Source organism: Homo sapiens, chromosome 13 (genome assembly GCF_000001405.40).
Source record: "Homo sapiens chromosome 13, GRCh38.p14 Primary Assembly".
In the NCBI taxonomy this organism is placed as follows: Eukaryota; Metazoa; Chordata; class Mammalia; order Primates; family Hominidae; genus Homo; species Homo sapiens.
The window spans coordinates 46,516,795-46,532,416 of record NC_000013.11 but is presented as its reverse complement, the minus strand read 5'-3'; the positions used below and the strand labels follow the sequence as shown (position 1 = coordinate 46,532,416).

General features: G+C 41.5%; 1 annotated feature.

Moving 5' to 3' along the window:
• Positions 2,694-2,833: a silencer, noted in NCBI's record as "silent region_5321". NCBI's record gives its function as "represses an Ori minimal core promoter by ATAC-STARR-seq in GM12878 lymphoblastoid cells {active_cell/tissue: GM12878}" and the evidence as "EXISTENCE:reporter gene assay evidence [ECO:0000049][PMID:35858748]".

Here is a 15,622-nt window from a genome sequence, read left to right as displayed (position 1 = left end):
TTCCAAAATAATTCATTGAGATTTTTATTTGAACTGCATTAAAACAATAAGTTAATTGGAAATAATTAACATACCTATAAAATTGAGTGTTTCCATTAACATGTTTATTTATTCAAGTATTATTTTATATCTCTTAATAAATTATTTTTAGTTTTTTGCATTAATGGGTACCGTATTCATAAGGTTGATAGTAACAAATAGTGAAAGTAATTTACTTTGCAAACAGGCACTGTGTGTTTTTGCTTACTCATTGTAGCCTCTGTTGTACCACAGAGGCTAGAGCTAAAGGGAAACTTCAAGGTCTATCTTATGACTAAAGTATTTCAAATTTGTGCTGTCCATAATACCTTGCAGCCAGAACTACTTTATGTGTTCGATGGGATGGAAGAGAAAAAGGGATCCCAAACTCCATACAGCTGTCATCTTCCAAGCACGTATTTTCTTGGGAACTTGGTATCATGTTTTACAGGAGCCTACTTACTTGGCCACTTCTCTCAAATCCTTGGTGTGTGTTTGGGGGTTTAAAAAGAGGTGATCATACCCATCTTCTCTTCTAGATTCTGAGCCAATCCAAAACAGACAGAAGAAGCCAGATGTAGATGTAATACAATATCAGCTTTGTTTAAGGTAAAGCTGGTGGGTTAGAGAATGCAGCTTGATTCAAGCCTGGACCAGAGCTTCCTATTCTCCCTGACCAACCAGCCAGTCAGAAATTGAACAGTAGAGAACTCAGGTGGAAAACCTCTCTGGTGAGCTTAACCAGGTAGAGGAAGAAGTAGGGAAGAGACCTTCTCTGCTTGCTGGCAGAAAGAGAGAGCGAAGAGGGCACTCGGCTGAGCCATAATCAAACCATTCTCATAGATCTCTCCCTTGCAATGAAGAGTGAGGGAGAGCGTATGTGTCCACCCAGTACTTCATCAACAGGGCAGAAGCATCTTCTGGAGAGCCAAGGAGTTTCCACTCCACAGGATTCATTCCTGTGCTTTCCTTCCTGACTGATTTGTTCCCTGGCAGATGGACTATGGACCTCCATGAGAAGGAAATTCTTAAAGAGGGAAAACTTTTTAGATGAGCTATGTATAATATAAAGGCTTAATATGGAACTGAAATAAAATCAAGTCATTTTTTAATATTCCTGACACTATTAGAGGGTTAATTACCAACATTGTTGCCTTTTTATTAAAGGCTGCCTGTAAAGTTAACACAGAGAAATATAATGATTCAGAAAAGCCAGGAAGTGAGGCTCAGTTTTTCCTCTGATAATCTCACTGAAATACTAGCTGGCTATTTCCCCTAGGTTTCAGCTAAAATGTAATTAAATGGGTAATCATTATGATGAAAGCCAGGCAAGTAAAATGAATATCAAATGAATAGGACTGTGAATTTAAAATAGCATGAGAAAATGCAAACAAATTTTTATCTTGAAATACTCTCTCTCTCTCTCTCTCTCTCTCTCTCTCTCTCTCTCTCTCTCTCTCTCTCCCCCCCCCCCCCCCCCCGTCTCTTTCCCCTATCTTTATTTTAGGAAGAGGAGAGCTGCGTATGGGGAATAGCACATATAACAGAGGGGAAAGATTTACCCAGCATATTAGATTAGGTCCAAGGAACAACACAACTATGAAAATACAGCTGAGTTCTTAAAACCACTGATTAGAACTTGGATGAAATGAATCCACAGATGATTCATCAAAGAGCCCAACTTTTACAAGAGTCTGAAAGAATAAATATTGCAGAGTTGAATCAGTTAGGGACTTGAAACACTCACCAAGAAAAAGACTTAAGCACATTCATAACATTTGATGACTGTAATTTAATAGCAAAATTTTTGTGATGGTTATTTTTATGTGTCAACTTGACTGGGTCACAAGATGTGCAGACATTTGGGCTAACATTATTCTGGGTGTGTCTGTGAGGTTGTTTCTGGATGAGATTAACATCTGAATGGGTAGACTAAGTACAGTATATTGCCCTCATAATGTGGGTGGGCTTTGTACAAGCTGTTGAAAATCTGATGAAACAGAAAGGCTGATTCTCCCTTGGGTAAGAGAGAATTTCCTCCTGCCTAACTGTCTTGAGCTGCGACATCAGTATTTTCCTGCCTTGAGACTCAAATGGGAACATCAGCTCTTCCTCTGTCTTGGGGCTGCTGGCCTTCAGACTGGAACTACATGATCAGCCCTCCTGGTTCTCAGGCCTTCAGACTCAGACTGGAACTACACCATCAGCTCTCCTGGGTCTCCAGCTTGCCGAATGCACATCTTGTCAGCCTCCACAATCATGTGAACTGATTTCTTATGACAAATCTATCTCTGTTTATCTATAGATATAGATATGGACAGAGACATATACAAATCCTATTGGTTCTGTTTCCCTGGAGAACCTTGACTATTACTGGTTTACATTGATATTTGTGTTCAGTGAGACTCTATTGGTGACAAGTGACAAACTACCTCCCATAAGTGGATATTCTGGAGGTGGGTGGCTTAGTTTTACCCCTGGCTTCATACAGTGGTTCAGATGATGACACTGAATCCATTTTCCTGCTCTCTCCATTTCTCAATTCTGCTTTCTTTGGGTTGACTCCATTCTTGCACAGGCTTTTCTCTGTTGGTCACAACATGAATCGTCTAGATTCTCATTCAGGGAAATAAGATGCCCTCACCTGAAGCAAAAGGTTTCATTTTATCTCAGTAGTTCTGATTGAGTCACATGTGATACTGTTGAAAACGTGTGGCCCTGAGCACCTTGCAAGCACCTGCTGGGTGTGCCAGACTGCAGGTCCTATCCCCCTCTTGATACTGAGGAGCTCTGTAGCTCCTCACATAGGCAATTGAGCAGATCAAGGCAACAACTGGACTGCAGCCTGCATGGTGTGGGGGTTGGGGAGGAGGGGAGACTGCCTTATTTATTGCTGGCTGAAATATTCTCTGCTTGCTCAAAATGCACTGAGTCCTCAACCCTGAGTTCCCTCCTGCAACACATCCCACGGTATGAGCAGATGCCATCTGATCCTCTGTGTCAGCCAGTGGAATTGGAGCTTGAGGAACTAGCACAAATATACTAACGTTTTGGCTCCTACTTTTGCTATGCTACATTTTGTGTGTTTGTCTCTGTCAGTGAGTCTTACAACATCTGTCAGCATCCCTGAAATGGTGGCAGGCCAAATTGTTATCTTGCAAGGAGGGTAACATCTCAGACTTTTCATAGCTCTTGAGAGATACACTGATTGACTTAAGCCATCCTTTGCTCCAACTCAAATCCACTGGGAACACATTGAGAAGCAGGGGAGGTGGTCCTGCAGAAGAGGATTTACAGATCCCAGAAGAAGGGCAAATAGAAGGTGGGCAGGGGAAAAAATGGGAATTATGCCAATTTGATATGACCCTCACGTGCCCTACCTGTTAAACAAAGATGCAGTACCTCTTAATTCAATTCCACACTCAGGCAATTCCACTTTCAGTTGTGTTCACTGGGCCCAGGACCCCATGAAGACTAACAGAATTCCTTAGGACTCAGGCAAAGTGCCAAGGATCCCACAGCCACCACAGATCATCTAGGAGAAGAACTCCTATGATGAGGCCGAAAATGTGATTTCTTTCCTTCTTTTTATTTATTTTTTTATTTGAGACAGGGTTTCGCTCTGTCACCCAGGCTGGAGTGCAATGGCATGATCTCAGTTCACTGCAACCTCCGCCTCCCAGGTTCAAGTGATTCTCCTGCCTCAGCCTCCCGAGTAGCTGAGATTACAGGTGCACACCACCACGCCTGGCTAATTTTTTTTTTTTTTTTTTTTTTTTTTTTCAGTAGACATGGGGTTTCACCATGTTTGCCAGGCTGGTCTCAAACTCCTCACCTCAGGTGATCTGCCCTCCTCAGTCTCCCAAAGTGCAGGGATTACAGGCATGAGCCACCATGCCTGGCCTAAAATTATGATTTTAATCACAAACAACATTTACAGAAGTTAAACTAGAAGCAAAAGTATTTCACCCAATCCCACCTCCTCCAAACAACCAAATTGATTTTGTTTGAATCCCCTTCTAGTTCTTTTGCATATGCATACATACTGCTTATGAAATTATAGTATAAGCATAACTTATTAATATTCTTCTTAATTATATTAGTGTTAGTACTGTTACTACTTAATATTATTAGTACATTTAACCTGTATCACAGATATTTCCCCATAGTGTTTTTGTTGATCATTTTCATTTTAATTAGTGCAAAAAATGCAATGCCAAAATATAAGTAGTTACAGTCATCCCTCCTTACCCATGGGTTTGCTTTCTGCAGCTTCAGTTACCTGCTGCCAACCACTGCCCCAAAATAGGTGAGTAAAGTACAATAAGATATTCTGAGAGAAAGACAGAGCCCACATTCACATAACTTTGATTATAGTATTAGGTTGGTGCAAATGTAATCATGGTTTTTGCCATTGAAAGTAATGGCAAAAGCCACGATTACATTTGCACCAACCTAATATATTGTTTTAATTATTCTATTTTATTACTGTTTTTGTTAATCTCTTACTATGCATAATTTATAAATTAAACTTTGTTACATGTTTGTATGTGTAGGAGTAAACCTAATATCTATAGGGTTTGGTACTATCTGTGGTTTCAAGCATTCATTGGGAATCCTGGAACATATCTCCCATGGATAAGGGAGATCTACAGTATATACAACTTATTTACCATTTCCTTCTAAATAAGTACATCAATTATGTTCCTTATTCCCCATAAAATAGAAAGTGTAAATAACATTTGTATAACTTTAGGCTTTCCTTACTTTATTTCATGTGATTCTGGCAACTCAGTGAAGATAGCTTTGGGTTTTTCCCCCTATTTACAGTTGAGGAAAGAGAGGCTCAGAGACAGTAAGCAAGCCACAGCATGATGACCTGAGCCCAGTGTTTCCAGTGCTTCTAGATTCCACTGGCTTTGCATATGTTGGTGCTGACAGACTTTGACTTTTAGAAGCTAACTGCCCAGTAACTGCTACCAGTGACTCAAGTGTCTGTGTCAATAAGCAGGGCTCTCTGGCTTTATGAGTAAAGGAACTGCACAGGTATCGACTTGGGTTAATTTGAAGAATCTGTAGAAGGCTTTTATGCCTGCAAATATCTCATCCATCACGGTCTGTAATTCCTCCCTTTAAAAGGCATGTCTCTGAGTTTTGGTGACCTTTTGGTCTTTAAGAGGTCCTTATTAAAATCTCTAGGTTATTGAGAAGGGTGACTGTATAAGAGAGGTTTTGTTAACCCCAGTAATAGGATTGTTTTCCACTGCTTGATATTAGTGGCCTAAGCAGACATCTGTTGTTTCGTTCCTCAGCAGCCCCACCCTCATATAATGGAATTGCCTCTTCCTCCCAATGACATAGTTATTATGAAGGCAGCCATGTTAAAATAATGTGATCACTGGTGGTGATCTTTCTCGTGTCAGAATTGAGTCAACTGAGACCTTTCCCGAGACTTTGTAATTGAGACACAGAGATAAAATGCTTTCTCTTTCCCTCTCACTCATTAAAGGGCAATTTCACAGTCCATAGAGAACACAAAAGCAGAAACTCTGCACCCAGTGAATTGTGAAGATGAGAATTGAACCTGTCCTAAGAAACCTGCAAAGGCACAAATTTAGGACATTTCAAAGGCTGTGGAATTATCAAATAAATGTTAGTAATTGCTCACATGTGACCGTAACCTGTGAACATTTAATTTATCATTTATCCAATAAACACCAAACACCTATTGAGAGGCTCTTGTGCCATGCCCTGGAGACACGGATGAAATCATCCCTTTCTCAGGAAGCTCGCAGGCTGGTGAGAGAGCCAGACAAGCAAATGAATTATTTCAAAGCACATGCGCAGCCCTCTGAGGATGATAAATGTGTTAGGTACTGTAACCAAGGAAAGCACAGTTATGAAAGACAGGAGTGAGTGAGAGGTCAGGTGGACTTCAGGGAGGAGTGAACTTTTGAGGGGTTCCTGCTGGCTGAGGGGGAATTTTCCCATGGGAAGACGCTGGATGTGTAGACTATGAGTCTGGCATATACAACGGTCCCTGTAAGGAGAGGAGGATGTGCCAGGGAAGGGAGAAGTAAAAGAGTGTGGTGTTTGGGGGTGTGCCTTACAGTCTGCAGAGTTGAATCACAAGATTCATGGCAGGGAATAGGAAGCACAAAGACAGGAAGGACCATCCTGGGATGGGCCTCATGATCTGGGCTAGTGGAGTCTGTGCTATGTGTGAGGATGATTACTTTGAAAGCAAAGAGGTGGCAGGCAGAGAATGAGGGGTCATGTGCACGGGTTCTAAGGCAATACAGCCCTAATGCCCTGTAGCTGTGTGCCCTCAGCAAGCAGGTGCAGGTGCCCCTTTCTATGCTGCAATTCCCTCAACTCCAAATTAACACTCAGGCAGTATGAGTGCACACAAAATCACGCACACCAAAATCCTCATGCCCCATAGGCTTCTTGGGAGAATCGAATGCCATGTGTTTAAAGCACTTAACACAGAGCCTGACAAATGTACTGACAGCTTACTACAGGATAAATACCGTTAGTAATTTGAGTAGCAGTGGGTTGATATGTGCAAAAGGAAGTAAAGAAGCTTAGGGTGTATCTAGGATCAAACAAGGAGGAAAAAACTATCACCTCCCCTGGAGAGAAAGCTTTAAGATCCTGTTCATTGGAGAACACTTTGAGTACAGATGCTCCTCAGCTTATGATGAGATTATGTCCTGATAAACCCATTGTAAGTTGAATATATAGTTAAACTGAAAATGCATTTAATACATCTAACCTATAGAATATCATAGCTTAGCCTAGCTTACCTTAAACCTGATCAGAACACTTGGGTTACCCCACAGTTGGGCAAAATCATCTAACACAAAGCCTATTTTATAATAAAGTGTTGGATATCTCATATAATTTAATGAATACTATACTTAAATGAAAAACAGAATGGTGTATGAGTGCCTGAAGTATGTTTCTACTTAATGCATGTCACTTTTGCATCATTGCAAAGTTGAAAAACCATAAGTCAAGCCATCAAAAGTCGGGGACTGTCTGTACTCCTTGCTAATTATCTGGAAAATGTGTTTCTAGGTAGCTGGGTATGAAGAAAAAAACAATTAGGAAAAACTTTAGTGAAATACTTTTCATTGAATATTCTATGTAAAACACAGGATAGAAAACCAAAGACATCAGCCTGGGCAACATGGAAAACCCTGTCTCTACAAAAAAAAAAAAAAAAAAAAAAAATTAGCTGGGTGTGGTGGCACATGCCTGTAGTCCCAGCTATTTAGGAGGCTGAAATGGGAGGATCACTTGAGCCTGGGAGGTCAAGGCTGCAAGTGAGCTGTGATTATGCCCCTGCGCTGGAGCCTGTGCTACAGAATGAGACTCTATCTGAAAGAAATGAGCAAAAAAAAAGAAAAGAAAAGAAAACCAAACAGAGTGTAAAGGAAGTTAAGATACATCTTGCTCACATTGCTTTGGCTTCAATTACACAAGGGAAAAACCAAGATTTTCTTTTTTCTCTCATAACCCAACAGAAGATCATGATAGCCTTTGATGCAGATGTGTTTAGCTGATTAAAGAGTTTGCAAAATGTGGGGACTTTTTCACTTTGTCATATTTGCAGACAACCTGGAAAGAAGATTTATGCACTGGAAAGTAGTGTGGGAACTTTTGTTGTGGGATACTTTCTAGAAGCCGAAATATTAAATCCATTCACTTATAAGCAAACACAGTGTCTACAAGATGCCAAAACACGCAAGCATGTGTTCATCAATTAGATGACAGAGGGATATTTGGCCAATGAATCAAAGTTTTGTTTTACATGATGCCAAACATCTGGATATTTGGAAGCAGCTGTTTGGCATCTTGTGGACTAAATAGAAGCACTTTTGTACCACTGTGGCCTGAGATTGCCTTCTGTCCAATCTGCTCACTGTCCCTAAGATCCAGTCCCAAGAACACTGTTGACCACACAGGGCCAGTACTGGTTTGAGCCAAGATCAGGCAGTAAAATTGATGGAAACAGAATTGCTCACTGGGATGCAGGCCTGAGGAGTAGGCATGGAACAGACTTATTAGGGAGACCAAACCTCCTAAATGCACCAGTTCATGAGACCACAGTGCACTGGAATAAGACAGGAAGTAGTGTGGAAATCAGGGTCAGAGGGGTACCTCCTCAGACAAAGGCACTTGAGGGAGGAGGCTGCATCAGGAGCTCACACTTGGCTGCATTTTCATTATTCACTGAGTCAGCAGCATGGTGTAGTAGAAAGCATGGGACCAAGATGTAAAGGACCTGAGCTCTGCTCCTGGCTCCACCACCAGGTTGCACATGACCATGAGCAAATGCAAATGCTCTGAAACTTGGCAATGTTTTTTCTTTTCTTTCTTTCTTTCTTTTTTTTTTTTTTTTTTTTTTTGAGATGGAGTTTTGTTCTGTCTTGCAGGCTGGAGTGCAGTGGCATGAGCATGGCTTACTGTAGCCTCAACCTCCCAGGCTCAAGCAATCCTCCCACCTCAGCCTTCATAGTAGCTGGGACTACAGGTATACATCACCATGCCTGGCTAATTTTTTTGCATTTTTTGTAGAGATGGGGCCTCACCATGTTGCCTAGGCTGGTCTCGAACTCCTGGGTGCAAGCGATTTGCCAGCCTCAGCCTCCCAGAGTTCTGGAATTATAAGCATGAGCTGCCACACCCAGCCAACTCAGCATTCTAATAGGTAAAATAGAGCATCATAATTATCTCTCAGAGCTGCTGAGAAGCTTGAATGAGATTATTGACATACTTTTTAAATGGCAAAATGATATCAAATGTAAATTATCATTAATAGTTCTTATATTCTCACTTTTTGATATGTAAAATTGAAATGATGAACTAATAAAATTATGGGGAGACTACAGAAAGGATGTTTCAGAGAGTTCTTGGTGAGAATGGGTTGTCTTGAAAGGTACTGGGAAAACTTAGTGGAGAAAAGCTTGAGGTTTAGAGAAAAACAGAGGTGGGTTTGAACTCCAGCTTCAGTGAAGTTTAGCAGTGGATCTTTGAGCATAAAAAGTGGATCTTTTTTATGCTTTGCTTTCCGGATTTGTAAAGGGGACTAAGAATAGCAGCTACCTCAGAGGGCTGTTGAGGGTTAAGGAAATAATGCCAGCAAAGTATCATACGCGGCTCACAGCAAATGCAAAGGTGCTGCTGGTATTACGATGAGTGAGCCTCCTGTCATTGAAAGGGTTCAAGCAGAGGTGGAATCTCAACCCCTCCAAGGGTTTGATGGTGTATGAGGTCGTTTAACAAAATGATTTCTAAGTTTCCTGCAAATTCAAAGTTTCTATGAGTTTCTCACATAAAAACACAATTACGGGAAATAAACAAGAAATGAATTTGATCCTTGGAAAAGATCATTTCACTTGTGTGCAAAATGAGAAACTATATATGACTGTAACCCCAAAAACTATCCTCCAAAGCTGTGTCTTTTTACTGGCACTGAATCCAGCCTATTATTTAGCAAAGCCCAACACAAACAACTAGTGAGCTTGTTCACAATGCCCTGGGCTTTGAAGTGTCAAGATTTCAACTTCTCCTGCTCTTGTTGGGTTGGCCCCAGTACAAGATAAGGGACCAGAGGATCTTGTTGGCAAGTTAAAGAATGAAAACAGTAACAGCAGTTATCAATGTAACTGTGCCATTAGTCCTAACTGAAGTTGTAATTGCTGGCAGACAGATAAAATTATTTGGGGCAGAGCTATCAATGTTTCTCACTTTGAAAAAAATAAAACAAAACACCATTCTTCCTATTAAACTCATCTTTTAGGAGAAAGGAAAGACAGCTCAGCTTTGGACACTGAGCCAAGGGGAAGTGCAACCCAGCTTTGGACGCTGAACCCTTATTGAACTGGAGAGAGAAAAATTCTCACTAGCAAATGTAAATTTCTCTTTGTCAGAGGTAAAGTTAACTGAAAACTTCAATAAAAACAAATAACTTTTAAATATTTTTCTTCATATATTCTTGGCTTCACATTCATTTTTTGAGCACCAACTATGTGCTGAGCACATTGCTAAGCCTTTTGCATGCTCTGCTAGGCATGCTCCATTTGCTTTTCCAGATTGACTTTTCCTCCTGGTCTGGCACAAGCTGACCTTTCATAGATGACATCATTTGAGCGCCACTGACTGGTTCATAGTTGAGCATGACTACTGGGAGGCAACAGTTAGAAGGACAGGAGGCAAAAGAGGCTAGTTTATTCATCCCCAGCCTGAGCTTCGGGTACTGAAAATTCAGGACCTGTATTAGGCTATTAGTAGCCCCGGGGTAGCTTACAACCCTGTGTGACTTCCCTTAACCCTGCTCACACTTTTGTAACTAATCCATCAAACAGATGGCCCTTTAGAGTGTGCCATCTGTTTTTTGTTGTTTTTTTTTTTTTTTTTTTTTTTCTGTAAACTGACTGATGCATGTGATTATTTCTGATGGACTATAACCAGAAATGACATAGTCACTTTGAGGCCAAAGTAGTAAAAAGCCAGTGTGGCTCCTCCATTCGTCAGGAAGTAAAAGCCTCTTAGATGTTAGATTGCCATTTGGAAGAGGCCCAGGTCCTTGATCACTTTTGGAGGAGAGCCACCTTTTCCTCCCACCCTCAACTGTGACGTAAGCAAGAAGTAAATTTTTGTCAGATTAAGCCGCTGAAATTTTGGGGTTCACTTGTTAATGCAGCAGAGCCTATCTTATCCTGACTAATTCTCTCATTTAATCCTTATAACCTCCTTATGAAGTAGATACTTACATTAACTCTCATTTTATAGATGAGAAAACTGAGATGTTATGAGAAAACTGAGATGCAGAGAACTTAAGTAACTTGCAACCAGACCAGAAGGAACAGAGCTGTGCTCAAACTCAGGTCTTTCTGACACTAAAGTCCAAACTCTTAACAGAAGATAGCATGGTTTTCCCCTAAACCACACTCTTTTGTGTGGCATGGAAGGTATGTCTCTTCTTCACACTTAGGAAAATGCACTTGCTGTCAGTGAATCTTGCAAATGGCATGAGACCAGAACAGGCATACTGGTCGGGCAAAGCAGTTGATCCAGCAAATGTTTACAGGACTGTCCTAAAGCCTGGAAACTCATAACTAGCCCTGTAATATCCTTGCTTAGCTCCCTGACCTGGAAAAGAGGGATATAGGATTTACTTTCTTGCCTAAAGCTTATGACATTATCTCTGTGTGAGTATCATACTTTTCCATTTTCCTCTGATATAAAAACAGCCCTTCTCGGCTGGGCAGAGTAGCTTATGCCTGTAATCCCAGCACATTGGGAGGCCAAGTTGGGTGGATCACCTGAGGTCAGGAGTTTGAGACCAGCCTGACCAACATGGTGAAACCCCATCTCTACTAAAAATACAAAAAATTAGCTGGGCGTGGTGGCGGGCACCTGTAATCCCAGGTGCTCAGGAGGCTGGAGCAGGAGAATCACTTGAACCCAGGAGGCGGAGGTTGCAGTGAGCTGAGATCGCGCCACTGCACTCCAGCCTGGGCGACAAGAGTGAAACTGTCTCAAAACAGAAAAAAAAAAAAAAAAAGGAAAGAAAAGAAAGCAGCACTTCTCTCTTTGTTGTGCCTGTTGAGTACATTTCTTTAGAGAGACTAGGGGCTCATTTATAGCTATTTATTTTAAAAATAAATATGACTCAGTGCACTTCATGCTACTGTATTGTAGATTTTAAAATGGTAAGAATGGTAAATTTTAAGTTATGTGTATTTTACCACAATAGACTCTTCTGTTCAATCTTAGCTTTTGATTGATTAAGGTACAGAATTGCACCTTTGCCATGGATTATTTGCTTTGGAAAATACATGTCCTGTGCATTTTCAAGGTTTCATTGTCAGCTGGAGGAAACAGGCTTTGTCATTTGCAGGAAAAAATTATTGACTGTAGGTCAGATCAGTTCCTTGCATTCAACAATAATGACTGTTTTTCTGTTACCAAAGGAAATTCAGCTACACTGTGACTTCTGAAATTTTGTGCATAGGAAGGAAAAGCCAAAGGGGTGCTTGCTGGCCCCAGCCGGAAATGTGACCTATTGAGCTTTCCTAAGGCGATGAGGTCAGAGAAGTCCTTTATCCTCCTAAGCTAGATGTAGTAAGCCTCAGCAGTTTGCATTCTATGGTTTTGTTGAGGATGAACTGGAAGACTCAAATTCTGACTCAAATGCTCTGTACATTTTCCCATAATCATTTTGTACTGGCTTCTTTCACTGAGCTTTCAATGGATCTGGAGTAGGACTTTGTGTATGGAAACCTTCCTATCCTATTTATATTTTCTTTGACATGATGATGGTTCTTGGAATAGAATGCAGGAATTTACTTTGGAAAGGCCAACAGCCCTATTTCGAATAGTGTCTGAACCAATACATATTTGCCTAGAATCCTTTAAAGAATGGACATGTTGGGTAAAGTGGGAGTTTGGGGTCAGATTCTCTGTGTGGTGTCTGAAGATCAAATACACAGGGAAGGAGACTAGACTGTGGTGGCTTCCACATCTATGATTCACTCTCTATTTGGCCTGTCCGTGCCTCGGTGGTCAATGTGTCCAACAGACCATGCCAAAGGATTGCCTTTTCCCCATTTTGTACTTAGGGATGACATGTTTTAAAATATTCATGCATTTCTATAAAGAGGATGAGAACTGTCAAGCCAGTATGAACCTCTTATTTTACAGCTTAGGCACTACTTATCCTCCACTAACCAACCCGATTCACTTCACACCCTGTTCCTGCCCTGCTCTGTTCCCCAAGAACCCCACATATATTACATCATGGGACTCCCTTGCAGGTAAATTTGGCCAACCTTATTCTTCATCGAGGGGAGAATGAGGTCAGGGTACTTCTCACCTACCACCTGCTTCCTTGCTTTGGCACCATGGTCTGGCAGGGTCCAAGGATTTCCTCTAATGTGGCTTCAGCACCTGTTGTGTGGTCCCCCTTGATGGCTCCAGGTTTCACCAGGTTCCCAGCCCTTCAGACCCAGATGTGGCAATGACTTCCTGCTGTGCTTGTCTCTATATGTTTCTAGACCCGCTTTGGGTCTCTTAAGCCTGCCTGTGGAAACAGTTCTGTCCTTCAAATCTCTAAGTCTCGAGAGAGGCGTGCTCTCTGCAGCCTGCAGAGGCCTTGGCTAAGGGATTTTTAGTTCCAATGAGCCCTTGCCTTTTTGGGTCAAAGTTCTTGATGCCATGAAGTTGTAACTGTATAACCTGGAGACTTGTAGAGCCTTGGGCCACTTTTAATGTTTTAATATTGACAGTCCTATAGTTTGTGGCAAAGAAATTTTACCCTGAAAGATATTATCTAACCCCTTGCTACCCAAAGTATGACCTGTAGACCAGCAGCGTTGTCCTTGCCTGGGAAATGCAGATGCTGAGGCTCCACCTCAGACCTACTAAGTCACAGTCTGCATTTTAACAAGATTCCAAGCCACTAAGATGCACATTAACATTCTTTTTTTCTTTTTTTTCTTTTTTCTTTGAGATGGAGTCTCACTTTGTTGCCAAGATGGAGTGCAGTGGCATGATCTCAGCTCACTGCAACCTTCGCTTCACGGGTTCAAGTGATTCTCCTGCCTCAGCTTCCCAAGTAAGCTGGGACTACAGGCACATGCCACCACGCCCAGCTAATTTTTGTATTTTTAGTAAAGACGGAGTTTTGCCATGTTTGCCAGGCTGTTCTCAAAACTCCTGACCTCAGGTGATCTGCCCTGGCCTCCCAAAGTGCTGGAATTACAGGCGTGAGCCACCGCGCCCGGCCAAGAGGCACGTTATTATTTAAGAAGTACTCATGAAACCCACAGATTACTGAGATCATTGAATATTACTCCACAGGAGGATCCTAGCTCTGAAAGGGCTATTTCAACAGGAGAGTGGGGCATTTTGTGAAGTAGCCCAATGATTGCTTTGTGTACTCCAGGCTGAGGAAAGCAGAAAAAATTGGGGTTGTGTACCCTTTTAACACTCTTTCCTTTCAGATATCTCAAGTAATCCTGTTCAGTTTTCCTTCTTTAGCCTAACTCTTAAAAAAAAAAAATCTAAAAAAGTCATTCTCTCTATAGTATAAATTAGTGGGAAGATCCATTTTATATTCAATCAAAAGCAAACATTATCATTATTTTTTTTTCAAGATGGTGTCTTGCTCTGTCGCCCAGGCTGGAGTGCAGTGGCACGATCTCAGCTCACTACAACCTCTGCCTCCTGGGTTCAAGTGATTCTTCTGCCTCAGCCTCCTGAGTAGCTGGAATTACAGGCACGTGCCACCACGCCCAGCTAATTTTTTTGTATTCTTAGTAGAGATGGGGTTTCACCATGTTGGCCAGCCTGGTCTTGAACTCTTGACCTCGTGATCTGCCCACCTTGGCCTCCCAAAGTACTGGGATTACAGGCGTGAATCACTGGGCCCGGCCCCAAACCAAACATTATTTAAGTGTCTATTATGCACCAAGCAGTACTATACAGCAAGAAATGATAAACCAGCAATGGAAAAAGAGAAAAGTGGTGGGAAGAATCAAGAAATATTTAAAAAGTGAAATTGCCAGAATTTAGTAATGGGTGACATGATACTAGGGTAGGAGTTGGGCTTGAAGGAAAGTGTGGAGATAAGATATTTTCTGAATCTTTAGCCTGTGTGGTTGGTGTTGGCGGTGATGCTGATAACATAAATGAGATAAGAAAGATGAAAGGAGAAGAAGCAAGTTTGGGAAGATGACATACTGAACTAGACATTTAGTGGGCATTTAGATGTATGAACCTGAAGCTTAGAAAATTAATAAAAATGAGGAACTAACCAGGAAATATATGATTGATCCGGAGCTGCAGTGGTGGAGTGGGAGAGTGAGTGGCTTGTTCCTCTAAATTCAAGCATATAATAAAGGAAATGCCCTCCTAATGATCTGCAAGTTTGAGAAATCTCAGGTCACCTCTGCACCTTGTTTACCCCCCTTGGAGCAGGTCCCAGGCACTCAAAGCTCTTATTATGCTAGGGCGCTTCCTCCCCCTGCACCGCCTCTTGAGGATCCTCTCTCCTGCCAGGATGAGACTGGGATGTGATTGCCCCAGCTTCCCATTCCTTGACATTCCTGGGCACAGCACATACAACTTTGGTTTTTCACATGAATCTTTATAGGAAATAAGAGAACAAGAGATGTCAGAGCAAGAACCAAAGCAGTCTCTTGTGTAGTATTTCTATTAGGAGTAATTAGATCTTCTGAACAACTCAGCTTGGCACTTTTCCTGGACACCAAAAGTGCCACTTGGGAATTAAATGGGAACGGAAACATGTTGGCTGACTCTATTGAGGGTAAATACAAAGGAAATCCTAATAATGAAAATGATGTTATGTGTTTTCTTCCAGGATTAATAGGTTGCTCTCTGTTTTTGTTTTGTTTTATTTTGTGTGTGTGTGTGTGTGTGTGTGTGTTTTTTAGATTTGTTTAGTTTTGGGTTTTTTTTTTTTTTCCTGTATTCTTACTCACTTTTCTCTGGGGACCAAACCTCAGCTATTGTATAGAATCCCATGGATTCAGATTTCAACCTGTGAGGTCTCTTCATTGCTTTGGAG